Genomic DNA, 18,307 nt, shown 5'->3' with positions numbered 1-18,307 from the left:
TAAAAATGGCCAACATATTAAAAAATGCTCAACATCATAATCATCAGGGAAATGCAACTTAAAGCCACAGTGAGATACCACCTTAATCCCAGCTACACAGGAGACTGAGGGAGAACAGCTTGAACCTGGGAAGCAGAGGTTGCGGTGAGCCGAGATTGTGCCACTGCACCCCGGCCTGGGCGACAGAGAGAGACTACGTTTCAAAAAAAGTCAAAAACAACAGATGTTTGCGTGGATGTGGGGAAAAGGGAACACTTATACACCGCTGGTGGGAATGCAAATTAGTACAAACTTCTATGGAAAACAGTATGGAGATACCTTAAAGAGCTAAACATAGATCTATCATTCAATCCAGCAATCCAAAATGACTTATAGAATACTACTCAGCCATAAAAAGGAATGAAATAATGTGTTTTTAGGCAACTTGGATGGAGCTAGAGGCCATTATTCTAAGTGAAGTAAAACCAAAAACCATATATATTCCCACTTGTAAGTAGGAGCTAAGCGATGAGTATGCAAAGCCATACAGAGTGATATAATGGATGTTAGAGATGCAAAAGAGGGAGGGTGGAAGGGGAGCTAGGGATAAAAAACTACACAGTAGGTATAATGTTCACTACTCTGGTGATGGGTGCACTAAAGTCTCAGACTTCACCACTATATAATTCATCCATGTAACAAAAAACCTCTTGTACCCCAAAAGCTATTGAAATAAAAAGTTTTCAAAAAATCAATACTCTGAGATCAAGGTTAGGAGAGGGCTTCAAAAGGTGGCTGATTAGAGGCATCTCTTACTTACCTCCTCCACTATGAACCAAAATAGTGAGTAGATAATTACATACATACAGATCATCCAAGAGAGAACACAAATTCAACAGAGAAGTGACGGAAAACACATTAAGGTGATATAGTTTGGAAATTTGTCCCCACCCAAATCTCATGTTGAAATGTAACCCCCAATGTTGGCAGTGGGGTCTAGTGGGAGGTGTTTGGATCATGGGGGTGGATTCCTCACGAATGGCTTGGGCCATTCCCTTGGTGAAAAGTGAGCTCTCACTCTGAGTTCACAAGATTTGGTTGTTTAAAGTGTGTGGCACCTCTTCCCACAGTGCTCTCTCACTTGCTCCTGCTTTCGCCATGTGACGTGCCTGCTTCCCCTTTGCCTTCTGCCATAAATAAAACCTCCTGGAGGCCTCCCTAGAAGCCAAGCAGATGTCAAACTATGCTTCCTGAACAGCTTGCAGAACGATGAACGAATTAAACCTCTTTTCTTATTAATTACCCAGTCTCAGGTCTCCATCCCTCCCGTCTCCCTCCCTCCCTCCTTCCTTCCATCCTTCCATTTTTCCCATAGACCTCTGGTATTTCTTCATAGCAATGCAAAAATGGCCTAAAACATAAGGAAAGGGAAGGAGGCAAGGCAGCCTGCTCCGCTACAGTTGGCTGGGAGAAGAGAGAAATTCCCCAATGCTCAGAAAGGCTAAGTGAGAGACTCTCAGCTGTCCACATTCCTGTTGCAGACTTCTACAATCCTAGCCATAGAAGGGTCCCTTGACCCCTGTGGGTCCCAAGACTCACAAAGGGAGTTTCCTGAAAGCTGCATGAAGGCATTGCTCCAGAGAGCTCACGCTGTCCCCACAAGCCCCTGAGTTTTGAAAAGTGGCAGCACAGTGCCATGGCCTCCACTCCACTGGATTATGTCTTGCCCGGCAACCTGGGCTGAGGTGGCAGCACGGGTGGCAATCTTGCCCCTTCTAACCATGCAGAGGGGTGGCTGAGCATTCTCATGAACCCTGAGGACAAATTCCACTGCCTGCAGCTGCTGTGGCTAAAGACCGCTGTGGGCCGACGCACAGGTGATGCTGCCTACCTATGGCTGCTCCCAGGGGAAGCAACTTCACTCTCCTTAGTCGCAGCGACACAACATGCTGCTGTCTCCACCTGAACATTCTGCTGGTGGCCTGGGACACTCACCCCACCCTTATAAACCACAGCCGGCATCTTTACGCACCACCGAGGAACCTAAGGGCACACAGCCTGTCCTGGCTCCAGCCCCTACCAGTACCTGAGAGCAATGTCCAGGGGACTAGGTATTGTCCAGCCCAGTCCATTACCAGTGGCACCTGCGCACTCAACCTGGGGCCTGAGATAGGGCCCACTTAACCTGCTGCTACCACCACAGCTGGCACTCATTGCCATGCACCACCTGTGGATATGGAGACTGGCCCAATCAACAAATCACAGTCACTGCCAAAACCAATGCTGATCAGTTAGGACCCAGAGGGTTGTCCCACCACTGCTGTTGCCATTTCCCATGCTACATCCACTGCCCAGGGGCTCAAGAACCCACCCAACAGCCTGGCCCACTGCTGCCATTCCCAGCACCTGATCAAGCTACCTGGAGGCTCAAGAATTGGCCTGCTAACACTGGTGCCAGCAGACACACTCTGGGGCCCAGGGACAGGCATGCTCAATCCACAACTACCACCACTGCGACCTGAAGACTGGCCTACTTGGCATTCCAGGCCCCAGCAAAACTTTACCACAGCCTCCACTAACAACTGCACCCTAAGTCACTGATGAAATCACAGACACCACTGATGCTGTTTACAGCCAAATAAGTCATACCGATCCTATGCTATTGCACCCACCTAGAATCAAAGCCACTGTGCTCTACCCAAGCAATACTAAAGATACATCTTCAGGAAAAAGTTCTTCCCTACAAAAGTAAATTAAAAAAACTGGAAAAAGTGACTATTATACCAGATGCACAGATATCAAGGTAAAGGACATAGAAAACATTAAAAAGCATGGAAATATGACATCTCCAAAGGAACACAATAATTCTCTAGCAACAGATCTCAATCTAAAAGAAATTCATAAGATCCTAGAAAAAGAATTCAAAATTTCGATACTAAAGGAGCTCAGTGAGATACAAAAAGTTTCCAAAAAACAATACAAAGAAATCAGAAAAACAATTCAGGATATGAATGACAAATTTACCAGAGAATAGATATCAGAAAAAAAGAACCACATAGAAATTCTAGAACTGAAGAATTCATAGAATAAAAAACAAAATACATTCAAAAGCTTCAACAATGGACTAGATCAAGCAAAAGAAAGAATGTCAGAACTTAAAGACAGGTCTTTTTTTTCTGATATAGTCAAAAAAAAAAATAAGGGTAAAAGAATTTTTAAAAATGAGCAAAGTCGGCCAGATGCGGTGGCTCATGCCTGTAATCCCAGCACTTTGGGAGGCCGAGGCAGGTGGATCATCTGAGGTCATGAGTTCAAGACCAGCCTGGCCAACATGGTGAAACCCTGTCTCTACTAAAATTACAGAAATTAGCTGGGCGTGGTGATGGGCATCTGTAATCTCAGCTACTCACGAGCTTGAGGCAGGAGAATCGCTTGAACCCAGGAGGTAGAGGTTGCAGTGAGCCGAGATCACGTCATTGCACTCCAGCCTGGGCGACAGAGCAAGACTCTGTCTCAAAAAAAAAAAAAAAAAAAAGAAGCGAAGTCTTTGTGACATATGCAACTCCATAAAGTGACCAAATATTTATTTATTTATTTATTTTGAGACTGAGTCTCGCTCTGCCCCCCAGGCTGGAGTGCAGTGGCATGATCTCGGCTCACTGCAAGCTCTGCCTCCCGGGTTCACGCCATTCTCCTGCCTCAGCCTCCTGAGTAGCTGGGACTACAGGCGCCCACCACCACACCCAGCTAATTTTTTTTTATTTTTTAGTAGAGACGGGGTTTCACTGTGTTAGCCAGGGTGGTGTCGATCTCCTGACCTCATGATCTGCCCGCCTCGGCCTCCCAAAGTGCTGGGATTACAGGCGTGAGCCACTGCGCCCGGCCTCCAAATATTTATTTGAATTACTGGGGTATCTCAAAGCAAAGAGAGAACAGAAGGATTAGAAAACCTATTTAGTGGCCGGGTGCAGTGGCTCACGCCTGTAATCCCAGCACTTTGGGAGGCCGAGGCGGGCGGATCACGAGGTCAGGAGATCAAGACCATCCTGGCTAACAGGGTGAAACCCCGTCTCTACTAAAATACAAAAAAAAAAAATTAGCTGGGGGCGGTGGTGGGCGCCTGTAGTCCCAGCTACTCGGGAGGCTGAGGCAGGAGAATGGCGTGAACCCGGGAGGCGGAGCTTGCAGTGAGCCGAGATAGGCCACTGCAGTCCGGCCTGGGCGAAAGAGCGAGACTCTGTCTCAAAAAAAAAAAAAAAGAAAAAGAAAAAAAAAAAGAAAACCTATTTAGTGGCCAGGCACAGTGGCTCATGCTTGCAATCCCAGAACTTTGGGAAGCTGAGGCAGGTGGATCACCTGAGGTCCTGAGCTCAAGACCAGCCTGGCCAACATGGTGAAACCCCGTCTCTACTAAAAATACAAAAAATTAGCTGGGCATGGTGGCAGATGGCTGTAATCCCAGCTACTTGGGAGGCTGAGGCAGGATCACTTGAACCCGGGAGGTGGAGGGTGCAGTGAGCCAAGATTGCGCCACTGCACTCCAGCCTGGGCCACAAGAGTGAAACTATGCCTCGAAAACAAAACAAAACCAAAAAATACCAGAAAACCTATTTAGTGAAATAGTGAAATAATACATGAAAACTCACCAAGTCTAGCAAGAGAGGTAGATATCCAGATATAGGAGGCCCAGGTATCCCCAAACAAATACAATGCAAAAAGGTATTCTCCATGGCATATTTATAGTCCACTGCCATAAATCAAAGACAAAGAGAATTCTAAAAACAGCAAAGAGGAAAAAAAAAAATTCAGCAAAGAGAAAAGCATCTAGTCACCTATAAAGGAACCCCCATCAGACTTACAGCAGGTTTCTCAGTAGGAAGCTTACAGACCCAGAGAAAAGAGAAGAGAAAAGAGAATAATATATTCATTGGAGATAAGAGAATGATATATTCAAAATGCTGAAGGAAAAACTCCCAGCCAAAGTGTATTAGTCTGATCTTGCACTGCTGTAAAGAACTATCTGAGCCTGGGTAATTTATAAAGAAAAGAGATTAAATTGGCTCATGGTTCTTCAAGCTGCATAGGAAGCATGGCTGGGGAGGCCTCAGGAAACTTACAATCATGGCAGAAGGCAAAGAGGAAGGAGAAGGAGGCACATCTTACAGGGTCGGAGCAGGAGGAAGAGAGTGAAGGCGAAAATGCTACACACTTTTAAACAACCACATCTCATGAGAAGTCACTCACTATCATGAGAAAAGCAAGGAGGAAGTTCATGTTCATCCCCATGATCCAGTCACTTCCCACTAGGCCTCACCTCCAACACTGAAGATTACAATTTGACATGAAATTTGGGCAGGGACACAAATCCAAACCATATCACAAAGATACTATAATCAGCAAAATTATCCTTCATAAATGAAGGAGAAATAAAGTCTTCTCCAGACGAGCAAAAGCTGAGGGAATTCATTACTACTAGACCAGACCTACAAGAAATGTTCAAGAAGTCCTAAACCTGAAAGTGAAAGGATGACATTTATGATCATAAAAACACACACAAATAGAAAACTCAGTGGTAAAGCAACACACAAATAAGGAAGAGAAAGGACTCAAATGGTACTACCATAAAAAGACAGCAAACCACTATAACAAACAATAAGAGAAAGGAACAAAGAATATATAAAGCAACCAGAAAACCGTTAATATGACAGAAAAAAGGCTCACATATAATTAATAACTGCATGTAAATGGAGTTAAGCTCTCCTCTTAAAAGATACAGGCTGGCTAAAAGGATAAAAAACATAATCCGACTACGTGCTGCCCACAAAAAATGCACTTTCCCTGTAAAGAGACATACAGACTGAAAGTTAAAGCATGGAAAAAGATATTCCATGCAAATAGAAACCAAATGAGCAGAGAGAACAAAAGGATTAGAAAATCTATTTAGTGGCCAGGCACGGTGGCTCATGCTTGTAATCCCAGCACTTTGGAAAGCTGAGATGGGTGGATCACCTGAGGTCAGGAGCTCAAGACCAGCCTGGCCAACATGGTGAAACCCTGTCTCTACCAAAAATGCAAAAAATTAGCTGGGCATGGTAGCAGATGGCTATAATCCCAGCTACTTGGGAGGCTGAGGCAGGATCACTTGAACCCAGGAGGCGGAGACTGCAGTGAGCCAAGATTGCGCCACTGCACTCCAGCCTGGCAGCGGCGTGATCTCCGCTCACTACAACCTCTGCATTCCAGGTTCAAGCGATTCTTCTGCCTCAGGCTCCTGAGTAGCTATACTTAGATAAAACAGACTTTAAGTCAAAAATAGTAAAAAAAAAAAAAAAAAAAAAAAAAAAAAAAAAGACAAAGAAGGTCATTATCTAATGGCAAAGGAATCAAACCAGCAAAAAGATGTAACAATTCTAAACATATATGAACCTGACACTGGAGCACCCAGATTCCTAAAGCAAGTTATTACTAGATCTAGAGAGAGAGAGACTCCAGTGCAATCGTACTGGGCAAACTCACCCCACTCTCAGCATTAGACAGATCATCTAGACAGAAAATTAACAAAGAAACATTGCATTTAAACCAGACTTTAGACCAAATGGACCTAACAGATGTTTGTAGAACATTTTATCCAACAGCTGCAGAATACATATTTTTCTCAACAGCACATGAAACATTCATTCTTCAGAAAAGACCATATGTTAGGCCACAAAATCATTTTCAACAAATTTTTAAAAATCAAAATCATATCAAGTATGTTCTCGAACTACAATGGAATATTAGAAATCAGTATCAAGGGGAACTTTGGAAGTGACAGAAATACATGAAAATTAAATAACATGGTCTCAAATGACCATGGGTCAATAAGGAAATTAAAATGAAAATCAAAAAATTTCTTGGAACAAATGAAAATGGAAACTACAACATACCAAAACCTATGTGATACAACAAAAGCAGTGCTTTTGTATCACAAAACCTATGTGATTTTTTGTATCACAAAACCTGTGTGATACAACAAAAGCAGGACATGAATACTAAGTTTATGGCAATAAACGCCTACATCCAAAAAGTAAAAAGATTTCAAACAATCTAATGATTTACCTCAATGAACCAGAAAGAACAAGCCAAAGCCAAACCCAAAATTAGCAGAAGGAAACGACTAATAAAGATCAAAGCAGAACTAAATGAAATAGAGACTTTTAAAAAAGGCAGAGGATCAACAAAATGAAAAGCTTGTTCTTCAAAAAGATAAACAAAATTGATAAACTACTAGTTAGGCTAACAACAACAAAAAAGAAGACCTAAATAAAATCAGAAATGAAAAAGGAGACATTACAACCATTCTCATAGAAATAAATAGACCATCAGAGAATATTATGAACAGCTATGCACCCACAAACTGGAAAACCTAGAGGAAATGGATAAATTTCTGGAAACATACAACCTATCAAAGAAAAATCCAGGAAAAAATAGAAAACCTGAACAAATTAATAATGAGTAGCAAGAACGAATCAGTAATAAAAAGTCTCCCCACAAAGAAAAGCCCAGAACCAGATGGATGCACACTGAATTCTACCAAATGTATAAAGACCTAATACCAATCCTCCTGAAACTACTCCAAAATACTGAAGAGGTGGCAATTTTCCCTAACTCATTCTAGAAAGCTGGTGCTACCCTGATACCAAAACCAGACAAGGACACAGCAAAAAAAAAAAAAAAAAAAAGAAAGCAACAACCAATATCCCTGATGAACACCAATGCAAAAATCCTCAGCAAAATACTGGCAAACCAAATCTAACAGCACATTGAAAAGATAATACACCATGATCAAATGAATTTATTCGAGGGATGCAAGGATGGTTCAATATATGCAAATCAATGTGACATATCACATCAACAGAATAAAGGGCAAAAGTCGTATGTCATCTCACTAGACGCAGAAAAAGGAATTCATAAAATTCAACATCCCTTCAGGATAAAAACTCTTAGCAAACTAGGCACAGAAGGATTATACCTCAAAATAATAAAGGCCACATATGACAAACTCACATTAACATCACACAAAAATGGGGAAAAGCTGAAAATCTTTCCTCTAAGAACTGAAGACAAAGATGCCCACTTTCACCACTACTATTCAACATGGGACTGACAGTCCTAGCCAGAACAATTAGGCAAGAGAAAGAAATAAACGACATCCAAACTGGAAACATGGAAGTTAAACTGTCCCTCTCTACAGATGACAAAAGACTATCAAAAAATTCTTAGAGCTGATAAATTCAGTAAGGTTGCTGGATACAAATTCAACATACAAAAACCAGTAGCATTTCTATATACCAACAATAAAATAGCTAAAAAAGGAAATCAAGAAGGCAACACCTTTTACAGTAGCTCAAACAAAAGCCAAAGAAGTGTAAGATCTCTATAATGAAAACTACAAAAACACAGATGAAAGAAACTGAAGAGAACACAAATAAGCAGGAAGACATTTCATGCTCACAAAATATTGTTGAAATGATCATACTATCCAAACTAATGTACAGTTCAATGAAATCCCTATTAAAATACCAACACCATTTTTCAAAGAAACAGAAAAAAGAATCCTAATGTTTTCATGAAACCAAAAAAAAAGCCAGAAAAGCTAAAGAAATTCTGAGTTAAAAAATAAAGCGGCGGCATCATTCTACTTGACTTCAAAACATATTACGAGGCTATAGAAACCAAAGCAACAAAGTATTGGTATATAAACAAGCATACAGACCAATGGAACAAAATAGAGAACCCAAAAATAAATCCTCATATTTATACACAACCGATCTTCGACAATGCCATTAAGAACACACACTGGGCAAACGACACCCTCTTAACAAACGGTGCCAGGAAATCCAGGTAACTATATGCAGAAGAATGAAAGTGAGTCCCTATCTCTCACCATTTAGTTGATACAAATATCAACAAAAATAGATTAAAGACTTATATTATATAAGACCCAAAAGTGTAAAACTAAAAGAAGAAAACACAGGGCAAATGCATCAAGACATTGGTCTAGGCAAAGATTTTATGGCTAAGATCTCAAAAGCCCAGGCAACAAAAACAGACAAATAGGACTACATTAAACTGAAAGGCATCTTAAATTTTTTTTTTTTTTTTTTTATGTAAGGGCTCCCTCTGTCACCCAGGCTGGAGTGCAGTAAGTGTGATTATGGCTCACAGCAGCCTCAACCTCCTGGGATCAAGTGATCTTCCTATCTCAGCATCCCAAGAAGATGGGACTACAGGCATGTTCCACCATGTCTGGCTAATTTATATTTTTTTGTAGAAACGGATCTTGCTATGTTTCTCAGGCTGGTCTCAAACTGCTCGGCTCAAGTGATCCTCCTGCCATGGCTTCCCTTAATGCTGAGATTATAGGCTAAAAAGCTTCTGCATAGCAAAAGAAACAATCAACAGCATGAAGAAGACAACCTCTTAAATGGGACAAAATATTTGCAATCTACTCATCCAATATGGGACTAATACCCAGAGTATACAAGGAACTCAAACAACACAACATTAAAAAATAACCCCATTAAAAAATAGGCAAGGGACATGAATAGACATTTCTTAAAAGACAAAGAAATGGCCAAGAAGTATATGATAAAATACTCAATATCACTAATCATCAGGGATATGCAAATCAAAACCACAATAAGGAATGGCTATTAAGAAGAAAAAAAGTAACAGATATTGATGACAATGTGGAGAAAGAACTCTTCTACACTGTTGGTGGAAGTGTAGGTAAGCATAGTCACTATACAAAACAGTTGGGGATTTCTCAGGCCAGGAGCGGTGGCTCACGCCTGTAATCCCAACACTTTGGGAGGCCGAGGCTGGCTCCCAAAGTGGTCAGGGGATCGAGACCATCCTGGCTAATATGGTGAAACCCCATCTCTACTAAAAAATACAAAAAATTAGCCAGGCTTGGTGGCCGGCGCCTGTAGTCCCAGCTACTCAGGACGCTGAGGCAGAAGAATGGTGTGAACCTGGAAGGCAGAGCTTGCAGTGAGCCAAGATCATGCCACTGCACTACAGCCTGGGCGACAGAGCAAGACTCCGTCTCAAAAAAAAGAAAACAGTTGGGGATTTCTCAAAAAACTAAAAATAGAGCTACCATACAATCCAAAAACCCCAATATTGGTAGTCATTGAAAACAAATCAATATAACAAAGGGATATATACACTCCTGTGTTTATTGCAGCACTACTCACAATAGCAAATACATGAAATCAACTTAAGTGCCCATCAAAGGATGAATGGATAAATGTGGTATATATACACAATGGAATACTATATGCCCATAAAAAAGAATAAGATCACGCCATTTCCAGGAATATGGATGGAGCTGGAGGTCATTATGTTAAGTAAAATCTAAGACAGGGAAAGATAAATATTTTTCAAAATAGCCAGAAGACTTGAAATGTACACAACACATATATATGATAAATACCTGGCTGTGGATAGTAAATACTCTGATTTAATGATTATATATTCTGTGCATTTAACAAAATTTCACATGTACCCCATGAATACGTATAAATATAATGGATCAGGAAAAAAAAAGAAGGAAAAGAAAAAAAACCTTAAAGGTAAAGTTGGCTAACTTGGAGAATTTTTTTTTTTTCTTGAGACGGAGTCTCACTCTGTTGCTCAGGCTGTAGTGCAGTGGCACTATCTCAGCTCACTGCAACCTCTGCCTCCTCGGTTCAAGCGATTCTTCTGCCTCAGCTACCAAGTAGCTTGGGCTATAGGCGCGTGCCACCATGCCTGGTTAATTTTTGTATTTTGAGTAGAGATGGGGTTTCACCAAGTTGGCCAGGCTGGTCTCCAATTCCTGACCTCAGGTGATCTGTCCGCCTCAGCCTCCCAAAGTGCTGGGATTACAGATGTGAGCCACCGAGCCTGGCTGAAATTTTCTAATCTTGTCTTTAGGAGTAGTTTTGACAGTGGGAGAATACATTGATGAGTGATAAGGAGGAAACAGCAGGTAGATATTTAAATGTTCTTATTCTGAAATGCAATTCTGTAAAAAGTATTATAAGAGTTAATGGATAAAAAACTTTCTAGAGTGTTTTCTAACACTCTATAGAGGTTGCAGTGAGCGGAGATCACGCCACTGCACTCCAGCCTGGGCGATAGGGAGAAATCCTATCTCAAGAAAAAAAAAAATCCCCCAGAAATAATAAATGGTAGTAATAACAATGATAACTAACAATTATTGGGTACTTATGTGACCAACCCAGTTCTATGTGCAGTAGATATATTACCTTATCAATCCTACATTTCTACATCAATCCTGTTTGTACCTCAATCCTACAAACAGAAAGTATTATTATCGCTGTTCTACAGATGACAAAACTGAATCATAGAGAAAGAATTTAAGAAACTTAGTCAAGGTCACACAGCTGATCAGTAGATGAACAAGGATTTGAAAGCCTGACTCAGGCAGTCTGGGTGTTATCGACCTTCTTCCTTAATTAACATATAGTTGTACTGTGGCTATCATGGATTAAGAAAACATATAATGACTAAATATACAAAGAAGACTACTGTGAACTCAGTAATACTTAAATGAAACAGTACATTATAAAATGAAATGACATTTGTGCACATCATTCTAGCTTCATACACTGTAACTAAATAAAGAACAAAATGATACTGTGTGACATGCATATGGATTTAAAGACCCCTTGTAATAACTCTCTGGGAGTCCCTCAGTAGTTCACTGCTCACAAGTGGGGAGCCACTGATGAGAAAATAAGATAATATATAACCAGGCTGGGCGCAGTGGCTCACGCCCGTAAACCCAGCACTTCGGGAGGACGAGGCAGGTGGATCACGAGGTCAGGAGATCGAGACCATCCTGGCTAACGTGGTGAAACCCTGTTTCTACTAAAAATACAAAAAATTAGCCAGGCATGGTGGCGGGTGCCTGTAGTCCCAGCTACTTGGGAGGCTGAGGCAGGAGAATGGCGTCAACCCAGGAGGCGGAGCTTGCGGTGAGCCGAGATTGTGCCACTGCACTCCAGCCTGGGCGACAAGGCGAGACTCTGTCTCAAAATAAATAAATAAATAAAAATAAATAAATATATAACCAACGGATATTATGCAAAAGCAGTGAAAACAGTATTTCAGAGCTCTGAGATGTAAAAGAAACTTTACAGAAGCTTGGCCTAAGGCGGGCAATGAAAGTGAGGGAATGAAAAAGCATTTGTTAGCATTAAGGGAGTGGAAATAAGAATAAGCAACTCAGATTTTTTGTGTTTTTTTTTTTTTTTTTAAAAACGGAGTCTTGCTGTGTTGCCCAGGCTGGAGTACAGTGGCTCAATCTCAACTCATTGCAACTTCTGCCTCCTGGGTTCAAGCAATCCTCGTGCCTCAGCCTCCTGAGTAGTTGGGATTTCAGGTGTGGGCAATCACGCCCAGCTAAATGTTGTATTTTTAGTACAGACAGGGTTTCACCATGCTGGCCAGGCTGATCTCAAACTCCTGACCTCAAGTGATCCTCCCACCTTGGCCTCCCAAAGTGCTGGGATTACAGGTGTGAGCCACTGCATTTGGCCTGCAACTCAGGTTTTTAAACGGGGAATAAAAACAATATTTTGTTATCTGGCAGTATTATATAAGACTAAAAAGAGAAAGAGAACCCAGTGAGGTTTTTATTGAAATAGGTTAAGTATTTGATGTGTTTAACATAAAGCCATAGAAATAGAGAGAAAAAAGATAAACTGGAACAATATCTTAAAGCTATAATAGGTCTCTGGTGACTGACACATATAGAGAATAAAGGAAACAGAGAAGTTAAAGTGTCTCTAAAGTCAAAAGGTATAAAAAACTGTGGTGCCACTGGTCTAACCAAGGGAAGCAATTTGGTTGAGTTTGATGAGATAAGTGAAATGTGTGAGAGGGAAACACAACTGTGAGATCTGGGTCAGTAGACATGTCCAGGGATATGGATCTATCTATAGATTATATACTGTACACCTAAAATCACTTAAGTCCTGAGCATGGCCAGGTTTTCAGGGGGCTGGGGAAGAGCAGAGAATGAAGTAACAACCATAATTAGAAAATATGGGCTGGGCGTGGTGGCTCACGCCTGTAATCCCAGCACTTTGGGAGGCTGAGGCGGGCGGATCGTGAGGTCAAGAGAGCAAGACCATCTTGGCCAACATGGTGAAATCCCGTCTCTACTTAAAATACAAAAATTAACTGGGTGTGGTGGCGGGCGCCTGTAGTCCCAGCTATTTGGAAGGCTGAGGCAGGAGAACTGCTTGAACTCGGGAGGCAGAGGTTACAGTGAGCCAAGATCACACCACTGCACTTCAGCCTGGTGACAGAGTGAGACTCCATCTCAAAAAAAAAAAAAAAAAAAAAGAAAGAAAAAAGAAAATACGTGGGAAGAGAGTAGAATAATAATTTCAGAACAGAAAGAGACCCAGAGGTCATTAACCCCCTCTTTTTACAGTGAATCAGATAGGTAAAAACAACCAAGGCAGAGAGGAAGTAGAACAGAAACAGAAAGCCAGATAGCCTCTAGCAGACTGACAATCCTCAGGGAAATTTTATTTCTCTTTAGACATTTCCCAACGTAATAATTACCTTAATAATATCACCAGTTCCTTCAGTAACAGGTTTTGATCTGAGTTCTTCAATTTCTTTCTCCAATTCTAAACAATTAAAAAATAAAGGACTCCGGTTCAGAAATAAAGAACATAATTACTGGGAAACTGATAAGTACATTCTCACAAAACCCCCCATAAATCTGCAAATTAGAATATATTTAAGCAGAATAGTATGATTAATCTCTGCACTCATCACTATACTTCAGCATTACATGGCCAATTTTGTTTCCTCCCAACCTGTACTCACTTCCTCCTTCACTGCTTTTCTTATCCATCTGATAATTTTCAAGCATACCCCAGACATCATATTATTTCACCTGTAAGTACATCTTACTGTATAACCTTAAAGCAACAATCACATATTAAGAATAAACGTTATCGAGAACAGCCTGGCCAACATGGTGAAACCTCGTCTCTACTAAAAATACAAAAATTAGCCAGGCATGGTGGTGGGTGCCTGCAGTCCCAGTTACTCGGGAGGCTGAGGCAGGAGAATCGCTTGAACCCGGGAAGGGGAGGTTGCAGTAAGCCGAGATTGCGCCACTGCACTCCAGCCTGGCCAAGAAGAGCGAGACTCCGTCTTGAAAAAAAAAAAAAAAAAAGAGAGAGAGAGAGAAAAGAAACGTTAATCTAAGTGTTTAATTAGCAAATGCCTAGATCTCAGGCCTAGAACTTCTTTCCAAATAAATTATTCTCTTCATTGCAAGGTGATCCAAACTCCCAAGACATACTTTTATCTTTTCTAATAGAAAATAAGTCTTAGCTTTTAGGCTAAGCAGTTAATATTTATAAGTCACTGGAAATTCAAGAGCTCATGTACATATACTAAAAAAAAAAGGTGCTAAGATCTTTTTCCTTCTGGAATAAAAAGAAAACTGAATAGGGAATCAATCAACTTCAGCAGGTAAACATACTTCAATATCTGTAAATGGAAGTCTTTTATTATTTTAATTGAGGAAGCTTTCCATCTCTTTGGGCTTATCTTCTGTCTCTAACATTTCAACTGACTTCTCTTGAAAAAACACTTTACTCAGAACTCAGAAGAATCTAAAGTCTACATGAAGGAAAAACACACTTAACTTACACAAACTTTAAAAATCCTCCTCCCTGACTTTAACAACTCAAAAGTCACTGTGGTTTAGAGATGTGGGAATAATTTAGAAATCAGAGGTAAATTTTTAGAATGTTAAATAACAGATTCTACTACACTAAGGTGTACTTGGAATCACTGGAAAACAAACAAAAACAAGCCAATGCATTATTTTAAAAACTACCATTTTAAACCACGATTAAAGAGACTGTGATCAAGATGAGTATTTTCAACCCAATACCTGTACACCTTGATTTAGCTTTCTGTATTAGCATCATCTGTTTCTTGGCAAACTTGATGAGGTCTTCTTTGGGCAATGTTTCCAGCTGAAAGATGTGGTCATGTTACCAACTTGTTATAACTCATGTTTCTAGTATACCACAAAAAAGAAACAATGTCTGCTAGAAAACAAAAACATTCTACAGAATAAATCTTTATGCCAACCGCATACTTTGTTCCACATTTTTTTTTTGAGACAGAGTCTCGCTCTATTGCCCAGGCCGGAGTGCATGACACGATCTTGGCTCACTTGTAACCTCTGCCTCCCAAGTTCAAGCAATTCTCCTGTCTCAGCCTCCCAAATAGCTGGGATCATAGGCGCCCGCTACCACGTCCGGCTAATTTTTGTATTTTTAGTAGAGACGGGGTTTCACCATGTTGGCCAGGCTGGTCTCAAACTCCTGACCGCAGGTGATCTGCCCGCCTCGGCCTCCCAAAGTGTTGGGATTACAGGCGTGACCCACCGCGCCCGGCCACATTTTTTAAAATCAGCAAATGCAACGTCAATTCTGTAATTGCTATGCAACTACTAAAAATTAGTTATGCAACTACTATGAAACGTAAAAACCAGGCCATATCCTCTTATAGCTAATGTTACAGGTTGACATTGCTAGCTTTTGATTTAATTGTAAAATCAGTAGGTTGGAGCTAATGCTACTTAAAATTCCTTGGAGCTGTAAAATTATTTCATTCTATTCAAGGCTGCAAGTCTTTGGTCACAAGAAAATTTACGCATAATTACAGCAGCAAGATGAACCGGGTAACATTCAGGCTTTAATTAAAAAATTGAGCTTTACCACTTGAGAAAATTGCTTAAGCCTGTGGTCTCAGGTTTCTCATCTGTAAAAGGAGGGTAACAACAGTACCTATCTCATGGTTATCATGAAGCTTAAACGAAGGAACTGAGTGGTTAGGCAAGCGCCAGAAATTTAGCATGCACACAATAAACCTTAGCAATAAACCACTATCATTTAGAATGATTGAATGTTAAACATTGTACAGGGCCATAAAACTGGACTAATTAAACTCTTTGGCAATGTAGAAACTGGAGCCCACAGATCAGAATCCCTTGATTCCTACCCTATGTCACTGCTCCTTCCACTACACCACTATATAAACCTTCTTAGACTGCTTTATGTTCGAAAAATAGCAGGATCTCCCAGCAGTGCTAACCAGGAGCAGGAAGCAAACAAAAAGTCTTTCTATATCGGGGTGGGCGGGGGAGAAACAGGAAATGGGCGATTGCGCACACTAAAATTGAGATCCCTTGGAGCAAGGCTATTAAAAAAAAAAAAATCAGCGCCCCCCCCTTCCCCATGCCAAAGTTTTCCAATTCATCACCCTTCCACTCTTCAGGAAGCCCGCTATTCAAGTATTCTCTTCACCTTAGATTTCCCGGTCCCAGGGGTAGCTGGTGAAGCCACCCCATCTTGAACAAGATCCTGCAAAACAAAATCAAACCCAGGTGTCAGAAGAACTCTTTTCCTAATTCCACACGGAACGCGTAGAACCCTTACAGGGAAAAACCTTCTATGGAATCAAGTGGTGGAAAGCCTCGTGAGACAGAGAATGAGGGCGGACGGAGGCGGTCGCTGTGGCAATTCGTACACAAACGGGCTCTACGGGGCAGGTAACCCCCAGGGATAGAGTTTACGAAAGATGGGGAGGCGACAGCAGCGCGGGCTTCGGGACACCAAGAGGGAGACTACCGCGCCCTCCCATCGGGCCCACTCCCACATCCCAAATCGCGGCGCGGAAGGCTTGATGGGAGGCAGTGGGCCCGACCTGAGTTACCTCCATCTCCGCCAGCCCGCCGCCGGCCCGCAACCAGCCGCCGCCACCGCTGCACTTCTGTTTGCGCCAGCCTCTGACGTAGGCTCTACTGCAGGTCAAAGGTCGCGCTCTCCGGGCGGCCCGCCCCCCACGTCTCCATAGCTACAGCTCGGCAGCACTTCCGCTTCCGTGTCTGCGTCCGGGAGAAGGTTCCCCGTACGGCGCTAAGGGCGGAGTCCGTCTAGACGTTCTACCTGGGGCTCGACCCCTGGGCCTGCAGGTCACGGAGTAGGTGTGGGTCCCGCCACTGCCGGTTATTGGCATGGGAAGGCGGGCCGATTACCCCTTGGGGCCTCGGGCCTCGGTTTCCACGTCTGTAAAATCTTGTGAGAGTGAGGAACATTGGATTGCAGGACAGGTCTCTCAGTCCTCCAAAGGTGTCCGCTAGCCTGCGAGTGCCTGCGGGACCCACAGCTGGTTCCGGGGGGCTCCTTAGGCATTTGTGGCCAGCATGGTGCCCGGGAGCTCCGTGACTCACAGGTCAGGGATGCGGTAGAGGGCTTCCCTGAGGAGGCATTTCTTGACTCTGGAGGCTGTGAGGAGGTCCCTGGACAGCTCTGCCCTGCAGCCGCCCGGTACTGATGGTGATGTGGTGGAGGCAAGATAGTCGGCCAGGGAACTGGGCAGCCGTGGGAGGAGACTCTGTAGAGTAGGGGGCCCGAGGCCACCCTTTCCCGAAGGGCACGCCAGAGAATCTGTGGTCGAATCCCAGAGCTGCTGCTGTGTCCTGATTGGCGGTCCAGTGCTCTGAGAGCCTTTCTGTTAACTGCTGAAGTGGTTTGCTGCGCTTTCACCTTCCCATTAATGTTTTCCATACACTCCCATAACTAAGGTAACCTGAAGATAACCTAGTTTCCTGTAGTTTAAATGGTCAAAAGGTTGAAGAGGCAGCACACAGTATGTATCGAGTAAATGGTAGCTGATTATTACTAGGTAAAAGAAGTGTTATAAACGAGAAAGAACAGCTATTGTGGACATCTACTCTTTGTCTTTGACAGTGTGTATCACCTATGGTGTTTGTAGGATTGGTTCAGGGGTGGTGTGTGACCTAAGATGTACAGTCTCCACGTACAGTAACACACGTGTGTGTGTACACGTGTGTGTGTACACGTGTGTGTGTGCACGTGTGTGTGTGCACGTGTGCGCGCACGTGTGTGTGCACGTGTGTGTACACACATATATGCACACACATGTATACACACACACACACACAATCCCCAAGTATACATTGTTATTAATGGTCCAGATTAATGCCATTCAAAGTAGTTCCCCAAGTTAAGAGCAACTTACGGTAGACTCCTATTTCAATTAATAACTTGAAAAAATCACTTGCAATAAAATAGCAGGTTAACTAGATACTACACACATTCCAATCCTGTAAAAGTTTCTCAGAGAAACACTGTTAGATATAGTTACATTCCAGGAGTTTGGCTACATCAATAGCTACAGAAGAGTTGATGTTCTCACAGTAGAA

The 18,307-nt window shown here is 42.2% G+C and overlaps 1 protein-coding gene across 9 annotated transcripts in view, besides 7 other annotated features; it reads right to left on the bottom strand.

Moving 5' to 3' along the window:
• The window catches only part of GCC2 (GRIP and coiled-coil domain containing 2), a 60,210-nt gene extending 43,341 nt beyond the window's left edge, over positions 1-16,869 (bottom strand). For 5 of the 9 annotated variants that reach the window (XR_923067.3, XM_006712870.4, XM_047446447.1 and 2 more), the window contains exons 1-4: positions 16,786-16,869; positions 16,386-16,442; positions 14,963-15,047; positions 13,609-13,676 (exon numbers count right to left, since the gene is read on the bottom strand). Coding sequence is in view for 6 of the 9 variants with exons in the window: in XM_006712870.4 (XP_006712933.1) it covers positions 13,609-13,676; positions 14,963-15,047; positions 16,386-16,442; positions 16,786-16,800 (225 nt within the window). In the remaining 3 variants the exon portion in view is untranslated. The remainder of the gene's footprint in view (positions 1-13,608; positions 13,677-14,962; positions 15,048-16,385; positions 16,443-16,785) is intronic. The other 4 variants (NM_181453.4, XM_047446449.1, XM_006712871.2 and 1 more) reach the window with 3 other exon arrangements.
• Positions 5,032-5,101: an enhancer, noted in NCBI's record as "active region_16343". NCBI's record gives its function as "activates an Ori minimal core promoter by ATAC-STARR-seq in GM12878 lymphoblastoid cells {active_cell/tissue: GM12878}" and the evidence as "EXISTENCE:reporter gene assay evidence [ECO:0000049][PMID:35858748]".
• Positions 14,878-15,378: an enhancer, noted in NCBI's record as "H3K4me1 hESC enhancer chr2:109067153-109067653 (GRCh37/hg19 assembly coordinates)". NCBI's record gives its function as "activates a minimal SCP1, AML or CMV promoter by ChIP-STARR-seq in primed H9 embryonic stem cells {active_cell/tissue: H9 hESC(primed)}" and the evidence as "EXISTENCE:reporter gene assay evidence [ECO:0000049][PMID:30033119]".
• Positions 15,379-15,879: an enhancer, noted in NCBI's record as "H3K4me1 hESC enhancer chr2:109066652-109067152 (GRCh37/hg19 assembly coordinates)". NCBI's record gives its function as "activates a minimal SCP1, AML or CMV promoter by ChIP-STARR-seq in primed H9 embryonic stem cells {active_cell/tissue: H9 hESC(primed)}" and the evidence as "EXISTENCE:reporter gene assay evidence [ECO:0000049][PMID:30033119]".
• Positions 15,965-16,946: an enhancer, noted in NCBI's record as "H3K27ac-H3K4me1 hESC enhancer chr2:109065585-109066566 (GRCh37/hg19 assembly coordinates)". NCBI's record gives its function as "activates a minimal SCP1, AML or CMV promoter by ChIP-STARR-seq in primed H9 embryonic stem cells {active_cell/tissue: H9 hESC(primed)}" and the evidence as "EXISTENCE:reporter gene assay evidence [ECO:0000049][PMID:30033119]".
• Positions 15,965-17,929: a biological region, named in NCBI's record as "H3K27ac-H3K4me1 hESC enhancers GRCh37_chr2:109064602-109065584 and GRCh37_chr2:109065585-109066566".
• Positions 16,783-17,042: an enhancer, noted in NCBI's record as "active region_16342". NCBI's record gives its function as "activates an Ori minimal core promoter by ATAC-STARR-seq in GM12878 lymphoblastoid cells {active_cell/tissue: GM12878}" and the evidence as "EXISTENCE:reporter gene assay evidence [ECO:0000049][PMID:35858748]".
• Positions 16,947-17,929: an enhancer, noted in NCBI's record as "H3K27ac-H3K4me1 hESC enhancer chr2:109064602-109065584 (GRCh37/hg19 assembly coordinates)". NCBI's record gives its function as "activates a minimal SCP1, AML or CMV promoter by ChIP-STARR-seq in naive and primed H9 embryonic stem cells {active_cell/tissue: H9 hESC(naive and primed)}" and the evidence as "EXISTENCE:reporter gene assay evidence [ECO:0000049][PMID:30033119]".

The sequence above is a fragment of the Homo sapiens genome, chromosome 2, assembly GCF_000001405.40.
Source record: "Homo sapiens chromosome 2, GRCh38.p14 Primary Assembly".
Classification (NCBI taxonomy): Eukaryota; Metazoa; Chordata; class Mammalia; order Primates; family Hominidae; genus Homo; species Homo sapiens.
This window is presented reverse-complemented; position numbering and strand designations above follow the sequence as displayed.